Source organism: Homo sapiens, chromosome 5 (assembly GCF_000001405.40).
Source record: "Homo sapiens chromosome 5, GRCh38.p14 Primary Assembly".
Classification (NCBI taxonomy): domain Eukaryota; kingdom Metazoa; phylum Chordata; class Mammalia; order Primates; family Hominidae; genus Homo; species Homo sapiens.
In genome coordinates this window covers 65,587,937-65,601,986 of record NC_000005.10, presented here as the reverse complement: position 1 = coordinate 65,601,986, position 14,050 = coordinate 65,587,937, and the positions used below count along the sequence as shown (strand labels likewise).

The 14,050-nt window shown below is 36.0% G+C and overlaps 1 protein-coding gene across 5 annotated transcripts in view; it reads left to right on the top strand.

Annotated features, from left to right (window-relative positions):
• TRIM23 (tripartite motif containing 23) overlaps nt 1-12,297 on the top strand; it is a 34,644-nt gene extending 22,347 nt beyond the window's left edge. For 2 of the 5 annotated variants that reach the window (NM_001656.4, XM_047417155.1), the window contains 4 exons: nt 4,807-4,936; nt 5,456-5,566; nt 7,342-7,466; nt 10,039-12,297. In NM_001656.4, the coding sequence (NP_001647.1) occupies nt 4,807-4,936; nt 5,456-5,566; nt 7,342-7,466; nt 10,039-10,218 (546 nt within the window). In that variant the 3' untranslated portion in view covers nt 10,219-12,297. The remainder of the gene's footprint in view (nt 1-4,806; nt 4,937-5,455; nt 5,567-7,341; nt 7,467-10,038) is intronic. The other 3 variants (NM_033228.3, NM_033227.3, XM_017009444.3) reach the window with 3 other exon arrangements.
• Nucleotides 12,298-14,050: the final 1,753 nt, after the last annotated feature.

Here is a 14,050-nt window from a genome sequence, read left to right as displayed (position 1 = left end):
TCCCATCACAGGCCTGGAGGTCCAGGAGGAAAAAGTGGTTTCATGGGCTGGGCCCAGGGTCCCCATGCTGTGTGCAGCCTGGGGACTTGATGCCCTGAGTCCCAGCTGCTCCAGCTGTGGCTGAAAGGGGCCAATGTAGAGCTCGGGCTGTGGCTTCAGAGGGTGGAATCCCCAAGCCTTGGCAGCTTCCATGTGGTGTTGAGCCTGTGGGTGCACAGAAGTCAAGAATAGAGGTTTGGGAACCTCTGCTTAGATTTCAGAAGATGTATGGAAACACCTGGAAGCCTAGGCAGAAGTTTGCTGTAAGGGCAGGGTTTGGAGGGGCGAGGGGCAGAATGATATGCTTGAGATTTTGGGTGTGCCCCCACCCAAATCTCAACTTGAATTGTATCTCTCAGAATTCCCATGTGTTAGGGAGGGACCCAGGGTGAGGTAATTGAATCATGGGAGCTGGTCTTTCCTGTGCTATTCTTGTGATAGTGATTAAGTCTCACGAGATCTGATGGGTTTATCAGGGGTTTCCGCTTTTGCTTCTTCCTCATTTTTCTCTTGCTGCTGCCATGTAAGAAGTGCTTTTTGCCTCCTGTCATGATTCTGAGGCTTCCCCAGCCATGTGGAACTGTAAGTCTAATTAAACCTCTTTTTCTTCCCAGTCTTGGGTATGTCTTTATCAGCAGCATGAAAATGGACTAATACAATGTGTATACCACATTTTGTTTGTTCATTCATCTGTTGATGGAAACTTGGGTAGCTTCCACCTCTTGGTTTACTGGGAATAGTGCTGCTGTGTACGTGAGTGTACAAATATCTCTTCAAGACCCTGCTTTCATGGTCTTTTGGATATATACCCAGAAGTGAAGTTGGTAGATCATATAGTAGTTCTGTTTTTAATTTTTTGAGGAATCCCCATACTGTTTTCCATAATGGTTGCACCATATTACAGTTCCACCAGTGGTGCACAAGGGTGCAGTTTCTCCACATTTTCACCAACACTTGTTATTTTCTGTTTTTGGATAGTAGCCATCCTGATTGGTTTGAAATGATACCTTATTTGTTTTGATATCCATATCTCTGATGACTAGTGCCATTAACCATCTTTTCATATAATTGTTGGCCATCTGTATATTGCCTTGAATATGTCTATTTCTGTCCTTCGCTCACTTTTTGATTGGGTTGACTATTTTTGTTGTTGAATTGTAGGAGTTCTTTGTATATTCTGGATATTAATTCCCTATCAGATCTGTGACTTTCAAATATTTTCTCCCATTTCATAGGTCAATTTTTCACTCTGTTGATTTTGTCATTTTATGCACAAAAATTGTAAATTTGATGTAGTCTATTTTTGCTTTTTTTTTTTTTTTTTTACTGTGCTTTTCGTGTATCCCTGAAGTCACTCTCAAATGCAATGTCATGAGGCTTTTCCTCTGTTTTTTCTTCTAGGAGTTTTATGGTTTGGGGTCTTAAGTTTATGGCCATTTTGAGTTAATTTTTTTAGGTGGTGTAAGATACATAACATCCTTTTGCATGTAGATATCCAGTTTCCCCAGCATCATTTATTGAAGAGACTGTCTTTTCATTGAGTGGTCCTGCACCCTTGTTGAAGATCATGTGACCCTATTCCTGAGGGTTTATTTCTGGGCTCTCTCTTCTGTTCTGTTGGTTTGTATGTCTCATCTTTATGCCAGTACCACATAGTTTTCATTATTGTAGCTGATATGGCTTGGATCTATGTTCCTGCCCAAATCTCATTTCCAGTTGTAATCCCCAATGTTGAAATGGGGCCTGGTTGGAGGTGACTGGATCATGGGGGCAGTTTCTCATGAATGGTTTAGTATCATCCCCCTTGGTACTGTCTTTGCCATAATAGGTGAGTTCTCATGAGATCTGGTCGTTTAAAAGTGTGTGGCACCTCCCCCACCCTCTCTCTTGCTCCTGCTCCTGCCATGTGAAATGCCTCACTCCCTCTTTGCTTTCCACCATGATTGTAAGTTTCCTGAGGCTTTCCCTGAAGCCAAGCTGATGCCAGCATCATGCTTCCTGTACTGCCTGTGGAACTGTGAGCCAATTAAACTTTTCTTTATAAATTACCCAGTCTCAGGTATTTCTTTATAGCAGTGCAAAAACAGAACAATACATTAGCTTTGTAATATATTTTGAAGTAAGGAAGTGTGAGTCCTCCAACTTTTTTCTTTTTCAAAATTGTTTTGGCTATTCAGGGTCACTTGAGCTTCCTTATAAATTTTAGCTTAATTTTTTCTATCTCCACAAAAAACATGATTGGGATTTTGATAGGGATTGCATTGAATCTATATAAATTACCTGGGCTGTTATTCATATCTTAATATTTTATGTCTTTCAATCCATGGACATGGAATGTCTATTTATGTCTTAATTTATTTTAGCAATATTTGTAGTTTTTAGTGTACAAGTCTTTCACCATCTTGGTTAGGTGTACGCCTACATATTAGGTTGGTGCAAAAGTAATAGTGGTTTTTGCCATTAAAAGTACTGGCAAAAGCCGCAGTTGCTTTTGCACCAACATAGTATCTTAAGTCTTTCACCATCTTGGTTGAGTTTATTCCTAAGTATCTTAAACTTTTTTTTCTGTACATGTTCAGAGAAACTTCTTTAGTCATAAACTATAAAAATGATCCCTGAAAGTATAATTTTGATGCTATTTTAAGTAGAATTGTTTCCTTAATTTCCTTTTGGGATTTTTATCATTAATGTATAGAAATGCAACTGATTTTCATGTTGATTTTATATCCTGAAACTTTGTTGACTTTATTCTAATAGGTCTTTTTGTGTGGACTCTTCAGGGTTTTCTACATACAAGATCATGTCATCTGTGAAGAGATATAATTTTACATCTTCCTTTACAATTTGGATGTCTTTTATTATTCTTCTTGCCTAATTGCTCTGTGGGCATCTTCTTGTTCTTTATCTTAGAGAAAAAGCTTTCAGTTTTTTGAGTATGATGTTAGCTGTGGGCATTTCTTATATGGTGTATGTTAACTGAGGCAGTTTCCTGCTACTCCTAGTTTGTTGAATGTTTTTATTATGAAAGGGTATTGAATTTTGTTAAATGCTTTTTCTGCAACTATTGAGATGATTACGTGCTTTTTTTCTCTCATTCTGTGTATTATGCTGATTGATGATGAATAATTCTTGCCTTCCAGTTATAAAGCCCATTTGGTCATGGCGTACAATCCCTTTAATATGTGTTTTTTTTTTTTTTGAGGCGGAGTTTCGCTCTTGTTGCCCAGGCTGGAGTGCAATGGCGCGATCTCGGCTCACTGCATTCTCCACCTTCCGGGTTCAAGCGATTCTTCTGCCTCAGCCTCCTTGTAGCTGAGATTACAGGCGTGCGCCACCATGCCTGGGTAATTTTGTATTTTTAGTAGAGACGGGGTTTCTCTATGTTGGTCAGGCTGGTCTCGAACTCCTAACCTCAGGTGATCCACCCCCAACCTCGGCCTCCCGAAGTGCTGGGATTACAGGCATGAGCCACCACGCCCGGCCTAATGTGTTGTTGAATTCAGTTTGCTAGTATTTTGTAGTTTCCTCCTGGTTGCACCTCATCCTCACTATGTTGGATATGGGGAAGGGCAGGGATGAGTGCACAGAATGCCCCAAATTTTATTACCCCTTTCACTGGAATGCCTTCTTGGTTTTATGGCCTGGGTGCTGTAGTTTCTTAACTGTTCTCTAGAGTTCTCACAGAAGTAGTTCTGTTCCATATATTGTTTTATTTCTGAGGTGTATAACTGGACTTAAGTATAGATTTGGAGCCATAATATACATGGTAATTAAAGCTCATGAAGAGAATGAAAATATGTAGAATGAGAAGGAGGCCTCATATAGACCCTCAAGAATACCAACATTTAAGAGCTGGATTAAAGAAAAATTAGAAGGAACATCCAAAAATGGGATAAAACCAAACCAGGAAAAGTTTGTATCATAAAATCCAAGCAAAGAGTGCTCAAAGGAGTAAGCAAAAATAACACATATATTTTGGGAACTGTTGTAAGGACTTTTATATGTATTCTTAAAAATTAATCCTTTCAAGAATCCTATGTAAATTTTGTACTATTTTAATCCTCCTTTTATGAGATGAAAGAAGTGAAGCAGAGAAATCATGCAGCTAGTAATATATAAAAATGTTCATTATAGCATTATTTGTAATATCATAAAATCAGAAATTACCTAAAATCTATCAGTTGGGGGTTTAGTTAAATTGTGGTTTATGAAATGTAAAGAAGCCATTAAAAGAAAAAGGTTGGTCAATATGTATTGACAGGATTCCATAATATACTGTTGAGTGAAACACATTAGTTTCAATGTGTGGGTAATACTTTTTTAAAAAAAAATTTGTTTTGTTTGTGTATGTTGGCCAGTATGTGCATGGAAAGTGTCTGGAGGGATATACATCAGATTCATAGTAGAAATTTCTGGGAATTGAGCAGCACTTTTTCATTTTAATTGATTTACCCTTATTGTGATTTTTTTAGTATAGCATAAAAACATGTTTAAGATTTAGAGGATTCATTTGAGTTAGAAAATCTGAGAAAATTAAGTGGGTATGTATATTCTGTTATACAAAGACAAAGTGGTCAGTTTTACTAAGGCAAGATTTAGCCATGGGGAAGGATTTCATCTTCTTGAGATCAGACTCAGTATTTTGAGGAATACAATTCAGATTGCAATGGTTGAGGAATGAATAGGAGATGTAGAAATAATAAAGGTGCTAAATGCTATTACTTTCTAACTGCATGTCAAACATATTTAAAAATATTTAAATTGTAGGATAATCGAGTTCACATTGGACCAAAAATGGAAATTCGGGTCGTTACGTTAGGATTGGATGGTGCTGGAAAAACTACTATCTTGTTTAAGTTAAAACAGGATGAATTCATGCAGCCCATTCCAACAATTGGTAAGTATGAATATTGGTTTTTACCTTAATAGACAAACCCTAGCTTACAGCCAAGTTCTTGGGGTCTTATTTGATACTGATCTGTCATGGTGGTGGGCTCTTTTCTGGCTCTAAGATATCAGCATCTCAGAGAAAAAATGCAAGATTGTATGACTATGGGATTGAAATGTGGATGGGGATAAAAAGAAGAAACAGAGTATTGGTGGGACAGTTGGAAGGAATAGAGGATTGGTGATCCTGGCTGAGGGTGTGGGGTGGGGGGTAGTTGTGGAACAGAGCTGGAAGGTACATGGATCCCAAGGTCCTAAGGACCTTGGTGGAGGTTTAGAGGGCTAGGAGCTGTTACAGGTATACATTCACCACGTAGGAGTAGGAATGGGGTTGATTAGGCTTCAGTAGATATTGCTGCATGTAGATAATTTGATAAGTCACAGTTATAAACTGGGGGTTGTCTGTGTTTGATATGTCATTCATTGTAAATACAAATATAGTATAAAAGTAACTTTTTTTTTAAAACAGGTTTTAACGTGGAAACTGTAGAATATAAAAATCTAAAATTCACTATTTGGGATGTAGGTGGAAAACACAAATTAAGACCATTGTGGAAACATTATTACCTCAATACTCAAGGTGAGAGTTAAAAATGACATTTAATTTTTCACATTTTTAGGATGACAGTTTTCAGTGTACTGATTTAACTAGCAAAGCTGATACTTATGATTAAGTCGTTGACTGTATACTTAAGTACCTGTGGCCAGTTTCTTAACTTGTAAAAAATGAAAGTAGAAAGATTAGGATATATACTTTTAGTTTATTCCTGATATACCATTATTACAGAATAAAAACCATACGTAGCTTAGATATGTAGTCAGTTAAGAGTACTCTTGCTTCTCTTAACAGAGAGTGTATATTACCAGTATTATATGGGTGTGACTGCTGGTAGCGTAGTGGTATAGAGTTGAATTTATGTTGTATGATTCTGCTGAATTCAGTTAAACTCAACATTTATCCCATTATAATCTCACTATAGCCCCACTCCCACATTTCTTTCACAAATAGTTATTACCTGCAGAAGAACTTACAGTAGCTTGCTTTTGACCAAACCGTATTATATCATATCTATACTCTACATAGGTTTTAGTCACATTTGGGTCTTACTCTACACTTCTGCCTCATAGACCCCAACATAATGCTTACGCTCATGCCGCTTATTCTGTATGTTATTCTGCTTTCCACCAAGATGAGAGACTGAATAATTATTTTTACTTTGGGATTTTTGATATTATTATGAGCCATAATTAATAGAAAAAATGTATTTTTTTTTTGAGACAGAATCTTGCTTTGTTGCCCAGGCAGGAGTACAGTGGCATGATTGCATTTCATGGTCACCTCTGTCTCCTGGGCTCAAGCAATCTTCCCACCTTAACTTCCCAAGTAGTTAGGACTAGGTATATGCCACCACATTCAGCTAATTTTTTTTTTTTTTTTTTTTTGAGATCGAGTCTTGCTCTGTCGCCCAGGATGGAGTGCAGTGGTGCGATCTCGGCTCACTGCAAGCTCCGCCTCCCAGGTTCACGCCATTCTCCTGCCTCAGCCTCCTGAGTAGCTGGGACTACAGGTGCCCACCACCATGCCTGGCTAATTTTTTTGTATTTTTAGTAGAGACGGGGTTTCACCATGTTAGCCAGGATGGTCTCCATCTCCTGACCTCGTGATCCGCCCGTCTTGGCCTCCCAAAGTGCTGGGATTAGAGGCACGAGCCACCGCGCCCGGCCACATTCAGCTAATTTTTAATTTTTTTTTAATAGAGATAAGGTCTCACTATATTGCCCAGGGGTCTCGAACTCCTGGGCTCAAGTGATCCTCTCACCTCAGCCTCCCAAAGTGCTGGGATTATAGGTGTGAGCCACTGTGCCCTACAAAAATGAAATTTTGAATATGAGGAATGGTTGAAAGTCTGGAGATAGTTAACTTAGACATAATACTTTGGAGAAATAAAAATGGTGATGGTTTTTATCTTTTAGTCTTTTATTCAAAGACTAAATATTAGAAAAGTAGTATTCGAAGAACAAGTAGCATCCATAGGTAGAGGATCATGAGGCATATTTTGAAATTCGTTATGTAAAAAGTTATTTGATATACAGACCAATTTGCATTTGATAGAGCAAGTGTTGTAAATCCTTTCCTAGATGGGGAAACTAAACCTGAGAAGTTATGTAAACTACTTGAAATCATACTGTTAATTATTTGTAGGTGCCCCTGCCATACTAGGCACCCTCTGTGTGAAAATAATGATGGTAGACAAACTCTAACCATAACATAATAATGATATCATTAAATATTTGGTTCATTTACTGAACTTTAGCAAGTGACTATTTTTGTTTTTTTTATTTTTTTTTGGGTAGCTGTTGTGTTTGTTGTAGATAGCAGTCATAGAGACAGAATTAGTGAAGCACACAGCGAACTTGCAAAGTTGTTAACGGAAAAAGAACTCCGAGATGCTCTGCTCCTGATTTTTGCTAACAAACAGGTAATGCATTTTTATATTGGAATATTTATTTTAGTAGTTTTGTGCATGTCAAAAGGCAACTGGAAATATTTCAGAAGACAATCAGTTCAATAGATATTTATAGTTTCTTCTGTGTATTTTGAGTACAATCTATGTGAAAATGCTGTGCTGGGTACCTGGGAGTATACAAAATAGAAATAAGGTAGTTAATGCTCACCAGAAACTCCTGTGTATGCATATGAACACATAAGAGATCTGAATACGAAGAAGACTGATAAGTAACTTAAGTAACACAGTGTTACGGGAATTAGGAAAGTAGTTCTAAATGTGGCATGTTGTAAGATTGTAAAATGTAGAATTTGAGTTGAAATTATGCATGAGGCTGAGTCAGTATGTGAAAGGAAGAACATTATAGACAGAGAAGATAATAGCATGAATGTTTTTAGTTTAGGGAACATCAAGCAGATCTATATGTCAGGTCTCAGTAGAGGATGAAGAGAATTTAGAATAACAGACAAGGCCATGCTGTAAAGGTCTGACAGTGCTAGACTGAGAAATTTAGGTTTTATTCTATGAGCAAGGAGGAGTCATCAAAATGTTGGATTAGTGGGTAATAAGATCATATCAGTGTTTCAATACTATAATTCTAGGGGTAGAATGAATCAGGGCAAAGGACTGGAGACAGGGAGATGCAGTAAATTGCTTAAATAATTCAAGTGAGCATTAACAAGAGCCTGAATTAGAGGAATAGAAAGGCGGAGGCAGATGGAAAAGACTTTGAGGCAGAACTGGTGACTGAATGGGGAGGATGAAGGACTGGGAGTAGCTGAAGATTCCTAGACCTTGAGCCTTTCTAGGAGGATGAGATGCTTTTAAGTAGAGGCAGAAGGAGAGTAGAAGTGGAGCAGAGGAGATGTCATGGGAGGGGAAGAGTAGGATGAAGAATAAAGAATTTTCCCCTTAATAAAAAAGGCAAACTATTAAGAACTGGTATATTTAAGACATGCAAATAAGTCAGTGAAATACCATTTTCTGCTCATCAGATAGTTAAAGATGAAAGTGTTTTATAATCCTCAGACTTATATACAACTGTTACTATTATTATTTTGAGACTGAGTCTTGCTCTGTCACCAGGCTGGAGTGCAGTGGCACAACCTCTGCTCACTGCAACCTCCCCCTCCTAGGTTCAAGCGATTCTTCTGCCTCAGCCTCCCAAGTAGCTGGGATTACAGGTGCTTGCTACCACACCCGGCTAACTTTTGTATTTTTAGTAGATTCAGGGTTTCATCGTGTTGGTCAGGCTGGTCTCAAACTCCTGACCTCAAGTGATCTGCCCGCCTCATCCTCCCAAAGTGCTGGGATTACAGGTGTGAGTCACTGCGCCTGGTCAACACTGTTCGTGGGTTATTAAACTGAGACATTTTCTTGGAGGACAATTTGGCAATACTCATCAAAGTCCCTTACCCTGCAATTCTACCTTTATATATCTGGTAGACAGATATCCAAAGGTTATCCTACAGATAATTTTGCAAATATACATAAATGTATGTCAACTTTTGTGTATGTATGTTTATGTATGTATGTGTATATATATGGATTTATAATAGCACATAAGCATAAAACTTCAATCTGAACATTCAGTATAGGACTGGTTAAATTATGTTGCAGCCACACAATGGAAGGGAATTCTGATATTAAAAATAATGCAGACCATCTGTGCTGATAATGGAAAGATACTCATCTTCAACATGTTTACGTAAAAAACAAACAGAAAACCCTGCAAGTTATAGAAAGTCTAAACTATGTTCCTGTTTGTGTCTCTTTGCATGAGTGTGCATGGAAATTTTCTGGAAAAATATGTTGTAACTGGTGGTTGCTCCTGGGAAGTTGGGGCAATGGGTGTTCAGAGTGGGAATGTAGTGAACTCTTCAATATATAACCCTATATATAAACCATTTATTAAGGTTTCTATGTGTTAATTTTTTTTTTTTAAGTTGATGCCTTACACTTAGGCAGGCCAGGCGTGGTGGCTCATGCCTGCAATCCTTGCATTTTGGGAGGCTGAGGTTGGTGGATCACTTGAGGTCAGGAGTTCGAGACCAGCCTGACTAACATGGTGAAACCTCATCTCTACTAAAAATACAAAAAAATTAGCCGGGCATGGTAGCACATGCCTGTAATCCCAGCTACTTGGGAGGCCAAAGCAGGAGAATCGCTTGAACCAGGAGGCAGAAGTTGCAGTGAGCCAAGATCATGTCACTGCACTCCAGTCTGGGTGACAGAGTGAGACTCTGTCTCAAAAGATAAAAAAATTACTTAGGCAGTATGTTTCCTTTTAGGTTGCAAGGACTTTATTGATTTCATTGTTAAGCTAGCCTTACAAAGTATATACATACACACACATATAAATTAGTTAAACCAAACTAATTTTTTCTATTCTTATTAATCTCAGAATAATTACTGAAAGATGAATCTAGGTTTTTTGTTTAGGCTTCTGTTAGAACACTGTCAACAAATTTCTCTATAAATGGTGATAATTAGAAAAATTATAATTTGGATGGACTGATAAAAAATATGTGTATATATCTTTCAGGATGTTGCTGGAGCACTGTCAGTAGAAGAAATCACTGAACTACTCAGTCTCCATAAATTATGCTGTGGCCGTAGCTGGTATATTCAGGGCTGTGATGCTCGAAGTGGTATGGGACTGTATGAAGGGTTGGACTGGCTCTCACGGCAACTTGTAGCTGCTGGAGTATTGGATGTTGCTTGATTTTAAAGGCAGCAGTTGTTTGAAGTTTTGTGGTTAAAAGTAACTTTGCACATAGTATGTTTTAAGAAATTATACATCTCAAAAGATGGTAATTTAGGATGCATATATATATATATATATATAAAGGAATCTTGGATTGGGAATTCAGTACTTTGCTTTAAAAAAATTTTGTGGCAGAATTAAATTTCTAATTGAGCAGATTAGATTGAATTAAATAGAAACTTATTGAATATACATTCTTTTAAAAAGTATATTTGTTATTTAAGTTTTTCAGATAATATGTGACCAATATACTGGGAAAGAGGTAGTCACAGAGAAAGGGTAAGTGAAGGTTTATTCTTTCAGTGAAAAAAGAATAGCCAATTGAGTGCCTAATGAGACCTCTGTGTGAAGCAAGTGAAGTATAGCTGCTTCTTTTAACCTGCCTTTTCACTGAATGTTGGCAGCATTTAGTAGTAGAAATGACAGTTGCTTAATGAAATAGAATCCAAACTACATATTTGGATAATAGGATTACTTTATGTTTATGTTCAGAGTTAACAGAACACCTTTAATGCTAAGAACTATAAGGTACAGAAAATTAATACTTTATATAGTGTTTTATTAACTTTCTCCTACAGCATTTTGTATAAAACACAATGAGGGAGTGAAATGTTACCCAATTAGGCTTGTCAGGTTAGTAATAAACTGAACAGTAATAAAACTGTGGAAGTAATTGGATCTGAATTTATGAAAGACCCATTTCCAGGACTGAACCTAGGTCAGAGCTCTAAATTGGTCCTTCTATTTTTCAACAAATTTAAAGTAATATTTCTTTCTAATATAATATTGCATCCTTTGTGGGAATGACTATAGGTAAAATGTAGTAAGTAACGCAGAACCAGGGTTGGCTTTATTTAAAAGCTAGTGACCTAAATAGAAAGCGAACTTCAAGAGAAGTTGTAAGTACAGTGGCAAATGCTTATTACTTACTTCAAACTGTTTCCCAAAATAAGTGCATTTATTTTGACAATAAAACTTAAGGCTGTTCATGAGAAGGCCTTGAAAAGTTACTCTAGAGGAAAAATGTCTAAAGAAAAAAAAAATTCAAAAAGTTTACATTAATTATTCAGTGTTGTGAGTAAATAAAAATGTGTGCTCTTTACTGTTTTTCATTTTTAAAGAATATTATTATGGAAGCACGATTTATTTAAATAGGTACATTGAGACTTTTTTTTTTTTAATGTTCTGATACATTAGGATGAAGTTAAATCTTAAATCTTATTAGTTGAATTGTTGTAAGGACAGTGATGTCTGGTAACAAGATGTGACTTTTTGGTAGCACTGTTGTGGTTCATTCTTTTCAAATCTATTTTTGTTTAAAAACAATACAAGTTTTAGAAAACAAAGCATTAAAAAAAAAGCCTATCAGTATTATGGGCAATATGTAAATAAATAAATGTAATATTTCATCCTTTATTTTTCAGGTAAAAGGTCATGCTGTTACAGGTGTAGTTTGTGTGCATAAATAATACTTCCGAATTAAATTATTTAATATTTGACTGATTTCAATAACTGTGAAAAATAAAAAAGGTGTTGTATTGCTTGTGAGAACTTGAACTGTTTACTAGTTAATTGAAGAAAAAGTGTAACACTAAGGTGAACTTGCTTCCCTTTTCACTAATTTTGCTAAACTTTGTAATGCACATTCTTAGCATATAACTGAACACAGTTGAAAAATTGTGCCTGATTATAATGTATGTATAATGGTAGGTGTTTGTGTGTGATTCATTTTTAAAGAAATATTTTTCTCAAGCTCCTATTACTATTTGTGGTTGTATTATTTCACTAATCATTAGTTAAGACTGTGCTAGTCTTCCCTGGGAAACTAAGAAGAGAGCTTTTTTATATACAGTATATTAGAATTTTCCTAGTAGCTGAATTTCTGTATTAGGTCTAAATATTACTGTATGTTATATAAAGCAGGTATGTCAAGTGTATAGCCGTAGTCTATAATTCAGGAATGCTTTATAACCATCAGAAGCCATTATTTGCACTACATATATGATAAGTATAGACAGCAATAAAATGTTAAGATCATTTTTAAGAAGTCCCATCATTATTCTTGAAAGTCTCTTTCTTGAACCATCTACCTAATATTATTGCTAGTTGTAACCAATTTAAGAAGTCATTATTTGTGCTGTGGTTAGGAGAGAAAATAAAACAAAATGGGTATGGGTTGGCATGCCTGTCAAATTTGAGATGTAGTTTATTTGATACAGCAAAATTTTAGAAATAACGTTTTGAATTTGCAACATAGGCCACATTTACTGATGAGAACAGATACTAAACTTGATCTTAACTACACCTGATCTTAGCCAAAAGGCCGAGAAGTAATGTGCAGGCCACATTTAAATAAGTAATATAACCATAGTGTTTTGAAGGCGGAGCTAAAGTTTTACATTGAACGAAGTGAAACTTTGTTACTGCCTTTTAAATTTTAAATGTAAACTTGTTTCATAAGAAAACATAGTATTTTAAATGACCATTTTAGAAAATGGCTTGCAAAACTTAGTGGTAGCTCATGAACTAATACTGCTAAGAGAAAGGCTTTTTATGTAACACTGGGATACTTCTCAATTGGCAAAGTGCTAACAAAGAAGAAGACAGCTGTATTCTTCCCTAAAAGAATAAAGGATGAAAAGGACTAATGAATAAGGATGAAATTATATCCTGATAACTTAAAACATGCTTTTAAAAAGACATGGGCAATGTATGTTTTTAGGTCTGCCGATTAAGTTTTTGATATTAATCGAAAAATTCATTAGTCAAATATGGTTTTCACTCAAAGCAAAATAATTGTATTTGTTGGGGAATGAGGCATCATCACCACTTGGTGGCAATATTACCAAAAATTTAGATTAAATTTTTAGGAATGAATAAAGCTAGGTAGGTAAGACTAAACAACTAAAATTAGAAACAGTAAATGTCACATTGAAAAGTCATTTTCATGTCTAACTTTAAGTTCTACTTTTAAAAAGGAGCATACATTACAGGAGCACAATCTGGCATAATCTCCTATCTATCTCACAACTTTGTAGCACGAAATAAATAAAGAATCCTGCTGATCAATAGAAGGAAAAGTTTAAGCCGATTTAAAACTTAAGAATATAAATTCCCTACACAGGTCTGTTGAGAATGTTCTTCCTGTAAGTTTCTGAAAGAAAGAGTCTTTCTTTCTGGAAACGAAGCAGTGAGTCTTAATAGTTATGAAGTTAGTTATAAGTGTAAGTGAAGAAGATCAATATAAGAATTTGTGCTCATATTGTTTTACTGCTCCAATTTCTACTAATCTCTCCATTGTTAGATACCAAAATTTTTATGTATACTTCTTAATGGTATATTTTCTAAAGATATACTATAACTTGAGGACAGAAAAAATTGTTTACCTATGTTAGAAAAATAATCTGAAAATCAACCTGCATATAATAAACTAAGGACTCAGGTATTCACTTATTCTGAATCTTTCATTTGAAAGAATATTTCATAATTATTAAGGAATATAACACTTTGACCAAAGTAACTTCCTGTTTATTGAGGCTTTACTCACCACTACTTACTAAACAGTTATCAAAAGACTAAAATATTTGGCATTGAAACCTTGTAAAACAAAGGAAATGACATATAATATCATATCCTAGTATTTTTTTCTTATAGGAGGGATCTGCACTCTTCTAAACATAAGGGCGGAATATCTGGCAGGTATTCAAAATTAAAGCACAGTTGTGTACCACTGTCATTATTTAATAGAGTTGTCATCGCACGGGATACCTTCTAAGACCTCCAGTGGATG